The sequence below is a fragment of the Homo sapiens genome, chromosome 1 (genome assembly GCF_000001405.40).
Source record: "Homo sapiens chromosome 1, GRCh38.p14 Primary Assembly".
Taxonomy (NCBI): domain Eukaryota; kingdom Metazoa; phylum Chordata; class Mammalia; order Primates; family Hominidae; genus Homo; species Homo sapiens.
This window is the reverse complement of record NC_000001.11, coordinates 146780584-146797928: the sequence shown is the minus strand read 5'-3', so window position 1 is coordinate 146797928 and position 17345 is coordinate 146780584. Positions and strand designations below refer to the sequence as shown.

Genomic DNA, 17345 nt, shown 5'->3' with positions numbered 1-17345 from the left:
TGTAAACTGAGGTTTGGAGTAGTCTCTATCCCCAATTTACATGTAAGCAGGACTTATAGGTGAAGTTACGAGCTCTCTTTGCTGATGTGCATGGTTTATAGAAGGCTGTGTGCAGAGATTCAAATTGTGGACCACCCTTCTCCTCTGGGAATAAAAAAACCTTCTATAATTTTAAATATACACACTTGCTGCATATTATTGGTCAAATTTATTTTTCTTGTGATTTATTCTATTAATTGCATATATTTTCTTCTATTTCTGCACAATTTTATTTTGATTATTTATATTTTAACCCAGCTGGAATGTATTTTACTGTATTGTGTCACAAACAGTGACTTTACCCCAAACATCCAATCTTCCCATCCTAATTTCTTTAATAATTTATCCTTTCTGCAGTGGCGCATGTCCCCTTAACTTGTGTGTGTTGATTCTTATATTCTTACACACTATGCGAATCACCTTAGCTTCAAAACACATTTTTATGTTTTAAAAAAGATTAGATATCTTTTTAAGAGTGCTAGTTTTGCTTATTTTCTTACTGTGGATGTGCTGCAGAGTAACTTGACAAGTTCCCTAAACCCTCCAATGGGGACTGCAAAGGTTGTTAGGTGAGAATCAATCATTATCCGTTTCCTCTTAGGAGGTAGGACAAGTCAGAGCCAGGGAAGGTGCAGTCCAGGGATGCTCACATGAGGTTTTCAGGTAGGATCCCCAACGAGTCAAGGGAAAATAACCCAGTGAGCAGAACACCTCATGCCAGGCTCCATTTTTGGTCTGGTGGAGGGTGACCTTCTCTCCCTGCCTGCTGAAGTCCTGCCAAGGTTAGGAGAATAAACTGCTCATGTGTTACCTTTGTAGTGTTTGTGGTGGCCAAAAAGTCTGATTCTATTTCCATTTCTTTTTTTTCATCCAGAGATATATCTTCGGATGGTGGGATCACAAATACAAAATGCTCCAGGTCGTCTGTCATGGTCAAAGGTGGCCGCTTCACCGGGTAGGAGACGATTGAGAATAAGGCGGGAGGCGGGATGGGTGGTCCGGAGGCACCCAGACCCAAGATGTCTAGGATCTAAAGGAAAGGCCCATTGTGAATTTCCTGTGCAAAACCCTATGCCTCTCTTACCATAGCCTTTGTTACACTTTATGGCAATTGTTTAATTGTCTGCCTTTGCAACTGGGCTGTAAACTCCATTAGGATGGTTAGCAGGTGGATATGGCACACAGCCTAGCACATAGCAGGCAATCAATAAATCTCTGTTTAATATGAAGAGGCCAGCTCTTAACGTTCTAATATCTAGAGTACAGAGTTTTTCCATCTATTTTCAGATTCCATGTTAATTTTTCTTTTTGCGTTAAATGTTCCTTCCTTCCAAGGTGAAAGAAAGTTGGGATAGGAGCAAGTCAAATGCAGCAAAGAAAATAATAAAGCAAAGGTTCTGGGACTGGGGATGAGAATGGGAATGAAGAGAGAAGTGAAAAATAACCTGAGAGAGAAAACATTTATTCCTCCAGCATTTTCCCATCCTGCTCTCATATATAATGAATGAGCAATTTCCAGAGCAAATGGTTTGAAAATTTAACAGCTACTTCCTGCCTCAGAATAAGCATGTTGCCTCTAGACTAATAGCCATTATCACAACAGTAAAGGTTACAGCCCACCTGAGGGCCCAGCCTGTGGACCACTGGGCCTGTGAGGCCCAGCAAGTAACTAAATATCTTCATGTAATCCTGTGCTTCTCATCCTGTGTGTCAAGGAGCTAAAGGCATTTCCTGACAAATACGCAGCTGAGTTAACTCCCAGGATTTAGAATGTCTATGAGGAAAGGCAAGAATGATTTGTAGCAATTGTTGAATTACCAGAGCCAGGGAGTTCTTCAAGCAGCAGTCTAACCTATGATTTGGAAGGTGGAGAGTACAAAACAAGGCAAGAAGATGTTCTTGTTATAGTCCTTTTTTTAAAAAAAAAAAAACATTTCCAGGGAAAAAATCACAATTCCTTAGCTAAGGCTGGCCTGAGGTGAAACTGGGAAGGGCGTAGAGCTGATGTTGTGTGTCCCCCAGCAGTCCTTCCCGCCTGTGGTGCCACCCGGGACCACTGTGGCAAGGCTTCTACTGTGGGCCGCGGCACATGGAAGTCACATGGATTGCAGGGATGACTCTGATCCTCCCATCATCCCTGACCTGCCACATATCCCTCCCAGGCTCTAGTCTCTACTTTTAAAAGTTGACTCATGCCTGTAATCCCAGCACTTTGGGAGGCTGAGGCTGATCATTTAAGGTCAGGAGTTTAAGACCAGCCTGACCAACATGGTGAAACCCTGTCTCTACTAAAGATCCAAAAAAATTAGCTGGTCGTGCTGGTGCATGCCTATAGTCCCAGCTACTTAGGAGGCTGAGGCAGGAGAATCGCTTGAACACCAGAGGCAGAGGTTGCAGTGAGCTGATATTGTGCCACTGCACTCCAGCCTGGGCAACAGAGTGAGACTCCATCTCAAAAAAAAAAAAAAGAAAAAAAGAAAAAAAGTTGCATCTAGTTTGTCATGAACGAAACCAGAGGGCAGCAAACTGTGGTGCCCTGGCTGAATCTGGCCTGCTACTTTTTCTAAATAAACTTGAATTGGAACACGGCCATGCCCATTCATTTACATGTTGCTGGTGGTCACTTTTACCCTCTGAAGGCCAAGTGGAGTAGTTTTGATAGAAGTGGTATCACCCGCAGCCTAAAATGCTTACTTTCTGGTCCTTTACAGAAAAAACCTGTCCCTGGAGAAAAGGCTATAATAAGCCTCTCCTCCAAACTGCTAGCAAAGGTGGCTTTTGGATACACAATACTTTTGTTTATAGGAAAGAAGAGCTGTCTTATAGGATAATTTCTGTCACTGTGGGAGGTCTGTGGGAAGATTTTGGAGTGGATGGGTCTCCTGCTTCACCCCAAAGCCTCACCTGCCTTGCCATTCTGTAGCACCCATATTATCAATATTAAAAACCAACCATTACAGGTGGCTTCCCATAAGGTTGGATGGACTAATCTAGATGTGTGACATTTCCTATGAATTTTCTCTTGCCAAGTAGAAAAGGTCCTTTAGTCATTATTGTCTTAATTCCAAGGGGGCATCAGAGATGCATGCAGTTGAGGGGATATGGGTTTCAGGTAGGGAGAAGCACCCCTGATGATCTTAGCACAGCGCCTGCCGCCTGACTTGAGACTTCCCCACCCTGGAGGAGAGTCCATACCTGCTCTCCTTTGGGAAGCCTGTCGCTCTCTAGGGCCTGCTTCCAGCTCAAGCCTTCAAAGTCTGGTGTCTGGATGTTAAGGAAGGGTACGCCCAGGTCCTTCTCCTTCTTCTCTTCGTGGTCCTCCTCCCCTTCCCCCTCCCAGTCGCTCCGCTCCTCCAGGGCTCGCAGCTTCTCCAGGCGCTCCCGCTCCGCCTTCTCCCTCTCCAGGCGCTCCTTCTCCAGGCGCTCTCTCTCCCGGTCCTTGCGGCCCCTGCGCCCACCCGAGGGGACCTGGCGCTGGTCGTCGGGCTCATGGGGAGCTTCCTCCATCCCTGCAGGAGGCAGCTGGACTCCTTGCTTCCGGTCCCAGTACATGAGGATGTTCTGGACATCCTTCAGTGTCAATTCATAGGTCTTAAACTTCTGGGCCAGTTGCTTGTCGGGGTCCTTTGAGATGTCCCCTTCACTGTCCTCTTGGTCCTGGACAAGAGGAAGCCCATGCATGCTGACATCGCCCATGTTCCTTTTCTTCTTATTTAGCTCTTCCTTCTCAGACATTGTTTGTTCCCTAACAGATATTTTCCTTTCGATTGTCTCCATCTTGACATCCACTTTGGTGAGCGGAGGAACCTAGAAGGCATGACACAGAAAAGATGCGTCAAACAGTTTTTTACGGGGTAGTAAATTGCATAAGGAGGAGCGAAAGGACATTTTGTCTCATGAGAAGGTCTCCGAGGATCTGGGCACCTCCCCTGCACGCTAAGGTTGTGCCTGGGAATCATCTTGGGGGTTTTAATCTAAATATCTATTCCATGGTCCCTCTCTGTTTGAGATCTGGCTGGATTGTGCATTTTGGAAAAGGTGCAGAGTGACTTTGATGTGTACTCCTGGTTGAGAGCTGCTGTTCTGCAGGATCAAGGGGAAAAGACTAGCAGATGCAAGCCATATGCACCTGCCTCAGGTGCCCTGGTATAGGCCACAGCGTGTAGTGGTCCAATCCCAGCTGCACTGCTTGGTAGCTGTGACCCTGGGAGAGGACTCAGCCTCTCTCTGCCTCATCTGTATAACGGAGATAGCAACATTAATACCTACTCCAGAGGACTCCTGAAGATTAAATGTGTGAATGCATGTAAAAAGCTTACAACAGTGCCTTTTCAGTTATTAAAACCACACATGTATTGTATACAATGGATATTGTTGGGAACAAATGGGGGTTTAGAATTTGGCTGCACCTCAGGCTTTTAAAATATGTATTTATTTAATGCTCTGAGCATAGAGAAACCAATTTTATTCTTTTTCTTACTGCACTTTTAAACTTGTTTTGTGGACTCTGATTTTCTCCTCCCCTGGATAAAATCCTCGGGTAGGCTCCATCGTTTTTTGGGTCATTCTTTGATGATATTATGCAAAGTCCATTCCAGTCTAGTGACTGCTATCTGCAGTGCAGCCAGTGTCTCCTTTCCCAGGTCTAGCTCTCCTCCTCTCTAAGTTCAGGCCAGCATCAGGCTTGGAGACATGAACGACCAGGGGCTGGCTTTTCCCCTCATCTTGCTGCCCTTCCTCCTTCTTTGCTTCTCCATCTCCAACACAGCCTGGGGAGGCAGCAACACTGCAGGCTGGCACGGTGCCTCATGTGGGGGAGGCAGGGACTTGGCTCCTATTCCTTCATGCTCTGCCAAGACACCTGGGTTTGCATGGAAGATGGGGCCCAGTGAGGGAAGGACTTGTACTTGCAAGACTGTGGGAGCCCAGCGTAGAGCAGCTGGAGGCTAACAGTAAACTATGAAGAATATGGACAATTTTAACAATATGATTAATGGACTTGGGCAAATAGATGCAGAAAGAAAATACACACACTATTCAAACACACGTGGAACATTAACAGAAACCAGTCACCGATGAGGCCACACAGCAAGGCTCCACAGATGCAAAAGATCAATATGACATAGAGCATGTACTCTGCGGATAGTTATCAAAATCAGGACTAAAAAGAGAAGGCAAAATGAAGCTGTTCATTTGGAAATTAGAAAATATACTTGGAAATAATTCATGGATTAAAGAAGCAGCCATAAAGGAGAGTAGAAAATATTTAGAATTGAACAATGAAAACACTGAATATCAACAAATGAGGACTATATCTAAAACAGTTTGGAAGTTTATATGTCTTTAAATGCTTTTATAACCTATTTTTTTTTTTTTTTAGACAAGCTGGAGTGTAGTGGTATGATCACAGCTTACTGTGGCCTCAATTTTCTGGGCTCGGTAATTCTCCCACCTCAGCCTCCCAAGTAGCTTGGGACTACAGGCATGTGCCACCATGCCTGGCTAATTTTTAATTTTTTTGTAGAGACACAGTTTTGCCATGTTGCCCAGGCTGGTCTTGAACCCCTGAGTTCAATTGATCTGCCTGTCTCAACCTCCCAAAGTGTTGGGATTACAGGCATAAGCCACTATGCCTGGCCCCTTTTATAACTTTTCATAAATTGCAAAAGAAAAACGATTGAAAATTAATAAGATAAGCATCACTTCAAGAAGTTAGAAAAAGAACGGAATAATAACACAAATAAAGTAGAAAGAAGGGGCCAGGCACGGTGGCTTACAACTGTAATCCCAGCACTTTGGGAGGCCGAGGTGGGCAGATCACCTGAGGTCAGGAGTTCTAGACCAGCCTGGCCAACATGACGAAAGCCCATTTCTACTAAAAACACAAAAATTAGCCAGGCATGGTGGTGGGCACCTGTAATCTCAGCTACTTGGGAGGGTGAGGCAGGAGAATTGCTTGAACCCGGGAGGTGGAGGTTGCAGTAAGCTGAGATTGCACCACTGCACTCCAGCCTCGGCAACAAGAGTGAAACTCCATCTCCAAAAAAAAAAAAAAAAAAAGAAAGAAGGATATTATTAAAAAATAAGAACAGGCCAGGTGTGGTGGCTCAAGCCTGTAATCCCAGCACTTTGGGAGGCCGAGGTGGGCGGATCACGAGGTCAGGAGATCTAGACCATCCTGGCTAACACGGTGAAACCCCGTCTCTACTAAAAAATACAAAAAAAAAAAAAAAAATTAGCTGGGTGTGGTGGCAGGTGCCTGTAGTCCCAGCTACTCGGGAGGCTGAAGCAGGAGAATGGCATGAACCAGGGAGGCAGAGCTTGCAGTGAGCCGAGATCATGCCACTGCACTCCGGCCTGGGCGACAGAGCAAGACTCTGTCTCAAAAAAAAAAAAAAAAAGAACAGAAACTAATGAAACAGAAAACATAAAATGAAGATAATCCACAAAGGCAAAAGTTGTTTCTTTGGAAAGATAATAAAAATGACAAACTTCTAGTAAGGTTGATTGAGGAAAAACAAAGAGAAAGGTACAAATAAACAACGTGTGAAATGTCCGAGAGGACATAATAGAAATAATACAAGTATAACAGAAATAATGGAAGAGGTTAAAAAGATAGTAAGACAAAACCATTAATTTCCTCATGCCAATAAATGTGAAAATCTGATAAAAAATTAATACTTTTTCAGAAAATCATGAATGACCAAATTAACTCGGAAAGCAAAAGGTAAAAGCTGAATAAACATTTAAGCCCCAAACAAACTGATTCAATAATGTAATATGTAACCCACTGTGTGGTCCTACCAAAGAAGAAAAAGAAATACAATCATGTCAATGGATGCAGAAAAATCACTTGATAAAATTCCACACCCACAAGTAGAAAATCTTTACAAAACGTTTTGAAAACCTATGTGTCTGAAAGCACTGGAGAGCCACAAAGGCAGTCATGAGTTGCAGGCTAAGATCTGGGAGAGGAGACAAATACAGAGAAGTGGGCCCAGCATTTGGGGCTGCTCTTCCCTCGAGGGTATTTGTAGCTGACAGTGTGGTTGAGAAGCTGAGCAAAACTTCTGACAGACTCATGGGGCTGGGGTTCAAAAATTAAGACTCCAGGCCTGCCAAGGAAAAGAGGTCCTGGTAAATCCCCTGGCCTTTGGGTTAGGTCTCCGAAAGGCTCCATATTAGGAATAAGGGTCAACCTGTCCTTTGCAGGGACATGGATGAAGCTGGAAGGCTATTATCCTCAGCAAACTAATGCAGGAACAGAAAACCAAATATTACGTGTTCTGCCTTATAAGTGGGAGCTGAATGATGAGGACACATGGACACATGGGTCAGGGGACAATACACACTGTGGTCTGTCAGGGGTTGGGGGGCAGGACGAGGGAGAGCATCAGGAAGAATAGTTAATAAACGCTGGGCCTAACATCTAGGTGATGGGATGATCTGTGCAGCAAACCATGGCGGCACACGTTTACCTATGTAACAAACCTGCACATCCTGCACGTGTACCCCCGTACTTAAAATAACAGTGGAAAAAAGAAAAAGAAAAAGAAAAAAAAGGTCCACCTGAAATAGCCCCGCCCTCCCAGGGACTGAAGCTCAGTTTAAAATGATCTCAGTCCTGATTGAGTCAAGGTTTCTAGTGCTCCTAGCCTAGCTGACTGCCAGCATCAAACAGTGATTCTCTCTGGAGGGAGACAACATCTTCCAGAGCCTCAAAACGTTTTTTCTGTTCAATATCTGGCCCTTGATAAAAACCTGGGGTGGGCATGGTGGCTCATGCCTGTAATCTCAGCAGTTTGGGAGGCTGAGATGGGAGGATTGCTTGAGGCCAGCAGTCCTAGACCAGCCTGGGCAAGCAAGACCCCTATCTTTAAAAAAAACACTTGGCATCTTTCTACATATGGTTAGCCAGTTTTCCCAGCACCATTTATTAAATAGGGAATCCTTTCCCCATTGCTTGTTTTTCTCAGGTTTGTCAACTGGATCCCTTCCTTACACCTTATACAAAAATCAATTCAAGATGGATTAAAGACTTAAACATTAGACCCAAAACCATAAAAACCCTAGGAGAAAACCTAGGCATTACCATTCAGGACATAGGCATGGGCAAGGGCTTCATGTCTAAAACACCAAAAGCAATGGCAACAAAAGCCAAAATTGACAAATGGGATCTAATTAAACTAAAGAGCTTCTGCACAGCAAAAGAAACTACCATCAGAGTGAACAGGCAACCCACAAAATGGGAGAAAATTTTCGCAACCTACTCATCTGACAAAGGGCTAATATCCAGAATCTACAATGAACTCAAACAAATTTACAAGAAAAAAACAAACAACCCCATAAAAAGTGGGCGAAGGACATGAACAGACACTTCTCAAAAGAAGACATTTATGCAGTCAAAAAACACATGAAAAAATGCTCATCATCACTGGCCATCAGAGAAATGCAAATCAAAACCACAGTGAGATATCATCTCACACCAGTTAGAATGGCAATCATTAAAAAGTCAGGAAACAACAGGTGCTGGAGAGGATGTGGAGAAATAGGAACACTTTTACACTGTTGGTGGGACTGTAAACTAGTTCAACCATTGTGGAAGTCAGTGTGGCGATTCCTCAGGGATCTAGAACTAGAAATACCATTTGACCCAGCCATCCCATTACTGGGTATATACCCAAAGGACTATAAATCATACTGCTATAAAGACACATGCACACGTATGTTTATTGCGGCACTATTCACAATAGCAAAGACTTGGAACCAACCCAAATGTCCAACAATGATAGACTGGATTAAGAAAATGTGGCACATATACACCATGGAATACTATGCAGCCATAAAAAATGATGAGCTCATGTCCTTTGTAGGGACATGGATGAAATTGGAAATCATCATTCTCAGTAAACTATTGCAAGGACAAAAAACCAAACACCGCATGTTCTCACTCATAGGTGGGAATTGAACAATGAGAACACATGGACACAGGAAGGGGAACCTCACACTCTGGGGACTGTTGTGGGGTGGGGGGAGAGGGGAGGGATAGCATTAGGAGATATACCTAATGCTAAATGACGAGTTAATGGGTGCAGCACACCAGCACGGCACAGGTATACATATGTAACTAACCTGCACATTGTACACATGTACCCTAAAACTTAAAGTATAATAATAAAAAAAAAATACTTGGCATCTAAAGAGACAAAACCATGTGACCATAAAGCAAGAGCAAAAGACAGACGGGAGACCAGACTGCTGGGGATCTACGTATGGCACTATAAGACAAGGACTTTAAAACATATTTAATATGCTGAGGGAATTAAGACACTATTGAGAAGTGAGAATTTTAAAGAGAACTAGAAATAGTAAGAAAAGAATTAATGGCTTTTTAATGCAATAACAAAATGAAAAACTGAAAGGAAGTTTGAATAGCAGGTTAGACCTCACTGAAAAAAAGACAGTGAACTAGACCGTATGTCAGAAGAAAATATTCAGTATAAAGAGAGGACAAAAGTATGTAGAACATAGAAAAAGCACAACGGACATATATTACTGTGAAAGGTTTGCAAAAAGGCCTAGCACATTTATGATTGGAATCCTAGATGGAGAGGAGAGAAAGAATGGAGAAGAAATCTGGAAGAGTTAGTGGCTAATGGTTCCCAGCCCACATATTCAAGAATCACTATAAACCCCAAGTAGGATAAAATACAAAGAAAACCACACCTAGGCAAATCATAGTAAATTACTGAATGAAGACTCGACATCTTAAAGGTGTTGAGACCTTAAAAACAAAGAGAAACATCTTAAAGGCAGTTAGAGTCAGAATGAGGTAGGAGGCGGGGCTCAGACACTGGACCAGATTGAGGACTCGCTAAAACAGGGTGGGGGTGGAAACAGCTTTCCAATCAGACATGCCCACCAGTGTGCCATGTCAATATATCACTGCCATGGCAACACCCAGGAGTTACCACCCCTTTCAGGGCAATGACTCAATGACCCAAAAGACCTCTTCCCTAGAAATTTCTGCTATACTGCCCCTTCATCTGCATGCAACTACAGTCGTATAAATACTACTGTAAACTGTCCTGGGCTGCTACTCTCTGCCTACAGGGTAGCCCTGCTGGGCAGGAGCAGTCAAAGTGCTGGGCAGGAGCAGTCACAGAACGGTCACACTGCCTCTTCAATAAAGCTGTTTTCTTCTACCTCCAGCTTGCCCTTGAATACTTTCCTGGGCAAAGCCAAGAACCCTCCGGGCTAAGCCCCACTGTGGGGCTCACCTGCCCTGCATCAAGGCTAACACAGAAGGAGCACAATCATGCTGACAGCCGACATCTCAACAGCCACATGGAAGACAAAGATAGAAAAATAATATCATCAAAGTGCTGAAGAAAAATGGCTGGCAACCTAGAGGCCTGCCTAGAAAAAAACACCCTCGAAACATCAAGGTGAAGTAAAGACATTTCGGACAAGCAAAACTTGAGTAATTTGTTGCCAAAGAACCTGTACCTAAAAAAAAAAACAGACACCCAGGAATGTTCTTTAGGTAAAAGAAAACAGACACAAGAGATGTAGAAAGCAGTTAAAGAGTGTTTAGGAGGGTGCTGAGAAATGCATATTGATAAATATTGATAAATGGGCATTTAGGTAAAAATAAATGCAAATTGATTGTTTTAATCAATAATGTTTGTGCATTAAAAAATATATAGTGAGAATTCAAATACATAACTACATTAGCATATAATTTAGAAGAGGGTAGCACTTTGGGAGGCCGAGGCGGGTGGACTGCTTGAGCCCGGGAGTTTGAGAACAGCTTGGGCGACATGGCAAAACCACATTTCTACAAAAAAATTAGCCAGACGTGGTGGTGCACGCCTGCAGTCCCAGCTACTCGGGAGGCTGAGGTGGGAAGATCACCTGAGCCTGGGGGAGATCAAGGCTGCAGTGAGTGGTGATCACGCCAAGCACTCCAGCCTAAAAAAAAAACAAAAAACAAAAAACAGGGTCAATGGGTCCATGTGGTTAAATGAGGTTAAATTATTCTAAGACTCTTGCATCTTCAACAGAAACACTTGAAGGTGATGGCTGAGGAAAATAAGACTCTTTCTAGTCTATTAACACACTATTTAGTCAAGTGATTACATGGATCAAATTTCCACTAGGCTTTGTTCAATTGTACTTTAGTAAATAACAGCCAATACAAAAGAAACCATTGATCCAAAATATAAACATAAAGGTAAACTTTCTTTTTAAGGAATAACATTTGGGAGAAATTTGCTTTTATAGATTTGGAGTAAGAAATGATGGCTGGCAAGGGCTTATTTGAGGGAGGAAGGCAAATTGAGAGGGATGGAATTGGGTTTAAGATTGAGCTGGAGGATAGAGAGGAAGATTTTTGACAGAAAAGAGAAAGAAGAAGGAAGCAAAGGAAAGTTCAAAGTAGAAACAAGGACGATGGCCAGATGCAAGGCTTTCTTCTTCTTCAGTGAGAAATCATCATCCATTTGTTTAAAACAGGATTATTTTTGTTGGGCGCGGTGGCTCACGCCTGTAATCCCAGCCCTTTGGGAGGCCAAGGCAGGTGGATCACCTGAGGTCAGGAGTTTGAGACCAGGCTGATCAACATGGTGAAACCTTGTCTCTACTAAAAATACAAAAATTAGCTGGGCGTGGTGGTGCATGCCTGTAATCCCAGCTACTCGGGAGGCTGAGGCAGGAGAATAGCTTGAACCTGGGAGGTAGAGGTTGCAGTGAGCAGAGATTGTGCCATTGCACCCCAGCCTGGGCGACAAGAGTGAAACTCCATCTGAAGAAACAAAACAAAACAACAACAACAACAACGAGGATCAGATTTAGTTGAAGTGCACTTTTTTGGTTAGATTTCTGAAACAAAAATTTTAAGAGATAACAGGCTTTTCAAGAGGACAGAGAAGACTGGAGCAGGAAGGGAACTTAGAGATCATCTAGGGATGAGATAAGGAAACTTTGGCCCAGAGGGTATATGACAAATTCATAGCTTCACAGATTAGTCTTTGAGTTTCCAGACTGACAGGTGTATTTCTCACTTCCTTTCCTGTCTCCCATTATAGCTGGTTCTGTGATGTTTTTTTCTTTTCCAACATCCCTTTATTTTCCCATCCTTGATTCTTGCTCTGTGCAATACCTCTTCCTCCAGGAGCAAGCAGATTCAGAACTGACCAGTCACAGAATGGCATCCCCCTGGCCAAGGGGACTGGTTCAGAGCAGGCACATGGCACTCTCCAGTGAGAGTGAAAGCCAGCACTGTGGCCAAAATGGTGTTTAACGAAGCACTCCTTTCCAGCTGGGTTTGGATTTAGGCGAATCTAAGCCAGAACTTTCGGGGGCTCTCACGTGGAGGGCATCAGTCAGAGACTGGAACCAGCACAGGTGAGCCAAGAGATGCAGGCAAAGAACTCTGCATGGGGGTTTATGGTTCTCATGCGTGGAAATGAACAACCAGCAAACTGATTGTCCCATACATAACAGCTACAGACTGAATGAAATAGAAACATAACTCCCTGAGAGCTCTAGAGACTAAAAACAAATTAGGCAGTTTTTAAAGGGGCTGTTGAAACTCGGAATAAGAGAGTTGCATAAAGTAAGTCCTCTTCCTCCTTTTTCATGGCTTTACACTGAAGATAGTCATGGCAGTGTAGTGGCTGGTGGCCACACCACAATAGAAAAAACCACCAACCGGGCTGGGCACAGTGGCTCATGCCTGTAATCCCAGCACTTTCAGAGGCCGAGGTGGGAGGGTCACCTGAGGTCAGGAGTTCCACACCATCTTGGCCAACATGGCGAAACCCCGTCTCTACTAAAAATACAAAAATTAGCCGGGCATGGTGGCACACATCTGCAGTCCCAGCTACTTGGGAGGCTGAGGCAGGAGAATGGCTTGAACCTGGGAGGCGGAGGTTGCAGTGAGCCAAGATTGCGCCACTGCACTCCAGCCTAGGCGACTGAGTGAGACTCTGTCTCAAAAGAAAAAAAAAAGAAAGACCCACCAATCTTCATTCTAGAGGAGCCACAGAAAGAAGTCCTGGAGCATTCAGAGCCTCCAGAGAGTGAAGGGGAAACCCCAGAAAGGAGAGAGAGCCAAAGAAGAGGAACCCCGCATTTTCTGTATAAGCAGCCTAAATCTCTGGCTGGCTGACTCTTGAACTATGTGTGTGGGGGGCAAACTGGAAGCAATTTGTAATTAAGGTCTAAAGAATGGAACTGACATCTTAGTCACTGACCACTGCAGATGCAAAAGACCAAAACTTGATCCAACCAAGCTTAATTGTCTGTTAAACCTAAAATATCAACATTCTTTGGAGAATTATAATACAATACAGAGTCTGCAACATAACATTAAAAAATTCCAGGATGTGATACAAAATTACTTGTCATATGAAGAGTCAGGAAACTGTGACAAATTCTCAAAGGAAAAGACAGTCAACTATGCCAACCCTGAGATGACTCAGATGGAGGAACTGTCAGACAAGAACTATATGCAGCTATTATAACTATGATCAGTAAGGCAGAAGGAAATTCAAGCAGATAAATTGAAAAATTTAAAAAGAACCAAGTGGAAATTTTAGAAGTGAAAAATACAGTATCTGAAATAAGAATTCAGGAAGGAACAAGCCATGAATTTTCATACATGTGAGCAAATACATTTTTTTTAACGTTTTTTGAATTGGGTTTTCTGTCTCTCTTTCTTCTGTTTTTTTTTTTTTTTTTTTTTTTTTTTTTTTTTTTTTTTTTAATACAGGGTCTTGCTGTGTTGTCCAGGCTGGATTCAAATTCCTGAGCTCATGCAATCCTCCTGTTTCAGCCTCCTGAGTGGCTGGGACTACAGGTGCACACCACCACAGATGGCCTGAATTGAGTCTTCTATTTCTTGCAGTTTAAAGATTCCTGACAATATATCCACTTGAGACTGTGCTTTTGCTAACGTTAGTGTTGGCTGCTAGGCAACTGCTTAGAGCCTTGCTACTCAGAGTGTGACCCAAGAGCCAGCAGCATGAATGTGACCTGGGACTTGTTAGAAATATAGTCTCATGCCCCAGCCCAGACCTACGGAATCGGAACCTCTCTGCATATTAACAGGATCCCTAGGTGATTTGCGTGCATATTCAGATTTGAAAAGCTGATATAGAGAAAATCAGAATCACCAGCAGATTTCATTTTATAGGATAAACATTTAAAGAGCAGTAGGCTATTAGATGGAAGGAAATCTTCCGATTAGAAAGGTAAAAACAGGCTGGGTGTGGTGGCTCATGCCTGTAATCCCAGCACTTTGGGAGGCCAAGGTGGATGGATCACTTGAGGTCAGGAGTTCAAAACCAGCCTGGCCAATATGGTGAAATCCTGTCTCTACAAAAAATACTAAAATTAGCCAGGCATGGTGGTGGGTGCCTATAATCCCAGCTACTTGGGAAGCTGAGACAGGAGAAGCGCTTGAACCCAGGAGGTGGAGGTTGCGGCCGAGATCCCACCACTGCACTGTAGCCTGGGCGACAGAGCGAGACTTGTATCAAAAAAAAAAAAAAAAAAAAAAAAGGTAAAAACAATCCACAAAATAAAAAAAAAAAGTGATTGGCCAGGCGCAGTGGCTCACACCTGTAATCCCAGCACTTTGGGAGGCTGAGGTGGGTGGATCACCTGAGGTCAGGAGTTCGAGACCAGCCTAGCCAACATGGTGAAAGCCTGTCTCTACTAAAAATATAAAAATTAGCCGAGTGTGGTGGCGGGCGCCTGTAATCCCAGCTACCCGGGACGCTGAGGCAGGAGAATCACTTGAACATGGGAAGCGGAGGTTGCAGTGAGCCGAGATCAAGCCACTGCATTCCAGCTTAGACGACAGAGCAAGATTCTGTCTCAAAAAATAAAGAAATAAAAAATAAACAAAAACATACCCACACATAAAACAAATATTTTTGAGCACCTTTCTGCCAGGTGGGAGACTCATTAAGTGATCAAAACAGACAAAAGCCTCAGCCTTCATGAGGCTTATATTTTGCAGGGGCAGGTAGGCAGACAAAATCACATAAAAATCTATGGTATGTGAGATGGTGATGAGTGCTAAGAAGACAGGGAAGGGGCTAAGAAGTGGGGTTTTTTTTTGTTGGTTTTCATTTGTTTGTTTTGTTTTTGCTTTTGTCTTATTCAATTTTAAATAGAGTGGCCAGGGAAGGCCTTGCTGGGATGTTTAAATAAAATCCTGAAGAGGAGTTCAGTGGCCAACCAGCATGTTTTTTTTTAAAGGTTCACCTAATTAACAATTCAAGAAATGCAAATCCAAGCAATAAAAATATTCAGTTGTTCACCCATCGAATCTAATCAGCAAGGATTAAAAGGAATGCTAAAACCTATAGCCTGTGAGGTCAGGGGTAAAATACACACCTTTCAACCCTGGAATGACATGTTTAGAAATGTATCCTAAGGAAGTAAGCATGGATATGTACAAAGATTCCGCTCTAAGTGAGACACTTTTGGTCTCTCCACTATGATTTCCTTCCATGGATATTAAACTAATTTGGCAACAAGCAAGAAAAACAGAAAAATACACTTTATGTTTCTGCAAACTGTGTCCTCTTCCCCATCCTGTTTCCAGAACCAGAAAACCAGGGGGTGTGATGATGGAATTACCATGTAGCTACACAGTACCACAGCAAAGACGGGTGAGACAGCTGGGGACGGGGAAGAAAGGAGAGCCCTAGTCTGGGACGGGCTTGAGAACAATTTAGGAGGGGGACTCCCTCACAGGGCTCCTGGTGGGTCTTGGGGTGAAGGTGCAGAAGTGACAGGGTCAGGGTGACTCTGGGATTTGGGCCTGGGAGCTGAAAGAAGGGTTGGGGAGGAATATAGGGCCAGGAAGAGGTCTGGAAGAAAGGCAGCATAGATGATGAGCTTGGTGTGGGCCGTGTTGAGTTACCAGTGTCCGAGGGACAACCTGAAGAAGTGTCAGGAGCCATGGATGGACTAAGGGCTTGGGAGGCAGTGCAAGAACCAGGAAAAGGAGTGCCTGCTTTGGAGTTGGACAAATTGGGCCTGCCCCCACCGCCTTCTGGCCATGTGACCTTGGGTGCATCACTTAACTGTGCTGCATTCCAGCTTCCTCATCTCCAAAATGATGGTGATGATCATATCTCCCTCAGCGGGTGTTGTGGAGACTGGAGATAGATGGTGATGGGATCTATTCACAGTTCCCAGCAGGGAGTGTCACATAGCAGGAATTCAGCACACAGTAGCTATAAGTTGTTAAAACATTGGTTTAGCTCTTTTTCATGTGGCTCCTGCCTTTCTCTCCTCCCTCTTTTGGGCTGTCCCTCTGCCTGGAATGCCCTTCACTTCGTTTTGGAATTTGCAAGCTTTTCCTGACTCCCCTCCTCTCTTCCTCCAACCCATTATGTATGATCAGGTAGCACTGAAGTCATGCATGGGATGGGGGTCAGCCTTAGACCAAGCAGGAAGAGACAAAGGCTGACGCTGGAAACCTGCAGAGTGACTAAGGATGGATGGAGGCGGGTCCAGAAAGAAACCAGGGAGAAGGAGGAAAGCCAGAAAGGGCGGACCAGGATGCTAGGAAACAAGAGCGATCCAAGGAGGGTACGATCCACAGTGTGAAGCTCATGGAGGAGGACGTCAAGCAAGTCAAGGCCTAACCCATGCCCATTAGATCTGGAAATGGAGAGGCTGGAGCCTTGGATTCGAGGGAGTGGTGGAGACAGGAATCAGGGTAGGAAACGGGGAGGCAGAAATGAGGGGTGACGAGGCAAAGCCAGCAAGTGGAGACAAGCATGAAGGGAAGGAGAGAAATGGGGTGCTCGTCGGGGGCACCAGGGTTGAAGAAAACTTTTTTTTTTTTTCATTTTAAAGGTGGGTGATTCTTGAGAACATCTTCAAAGCCTGTGAGAAGAGCTGAAGCCAGAGCAGAGAGGAAAACAGGTGTGCTGACGGTCCAAGAAATAGAGCAGTCCTTTTGATGAGGAAGCAGGAAGGTCTTTAGTCATTCCCTTTCACCTTGGCACTCCCCCTGGAATTTTCTTTCACTTCCTGAGAATGCATCTAGTCTCAGAAGTTTTTCTTCAGCTTAAGTGTTTTCAGACCAGGCAACCGCATTAGTCCAAGAGTCTCAAGAAGTCCCCCTAGGGAACATGATTGATTGTGTTTTGTACTAAGCTCAAGTGATACACAAGCCTGTCTCCAAATGGATGACTGTCATAAGGTCCTTATCACCTCCATCCAAGGTCAACAGAGCACATACAAAAGTACCTGCCCTGAATCTGGTAGTGGGG

The 17345-nt window shown here is 44.0% G+C and overlaps 1 pseudogene across 1 annotated transcript in view; it reads right to left on the bottom strand.

Moving 5' to 3' along the window:
• The window catches only part of HYDIN2 (HYDIN axonemal central pair apparatus protein 2 (pseudogene)), a 335703-nt pseudogene that overhangs the window by 24106 nt on the left and 294252 nt on the right, over positions 1–17345 (bottom strand). The window contains exons 47-48 of the transcript NR_103556.2: positions 16147–16298; positions 3235–3846 (exon numbers count right to left, since the gene is read on the bottom strand). The product of NR_103556.2 is annotated as an HYDIN axonemal central pair apparatus protein 2 (pseudogene) (transcript). The remainder of the gene's footprint in view (positions 1–3234; positions 3847–16146; positions 16299–17345) is intronic.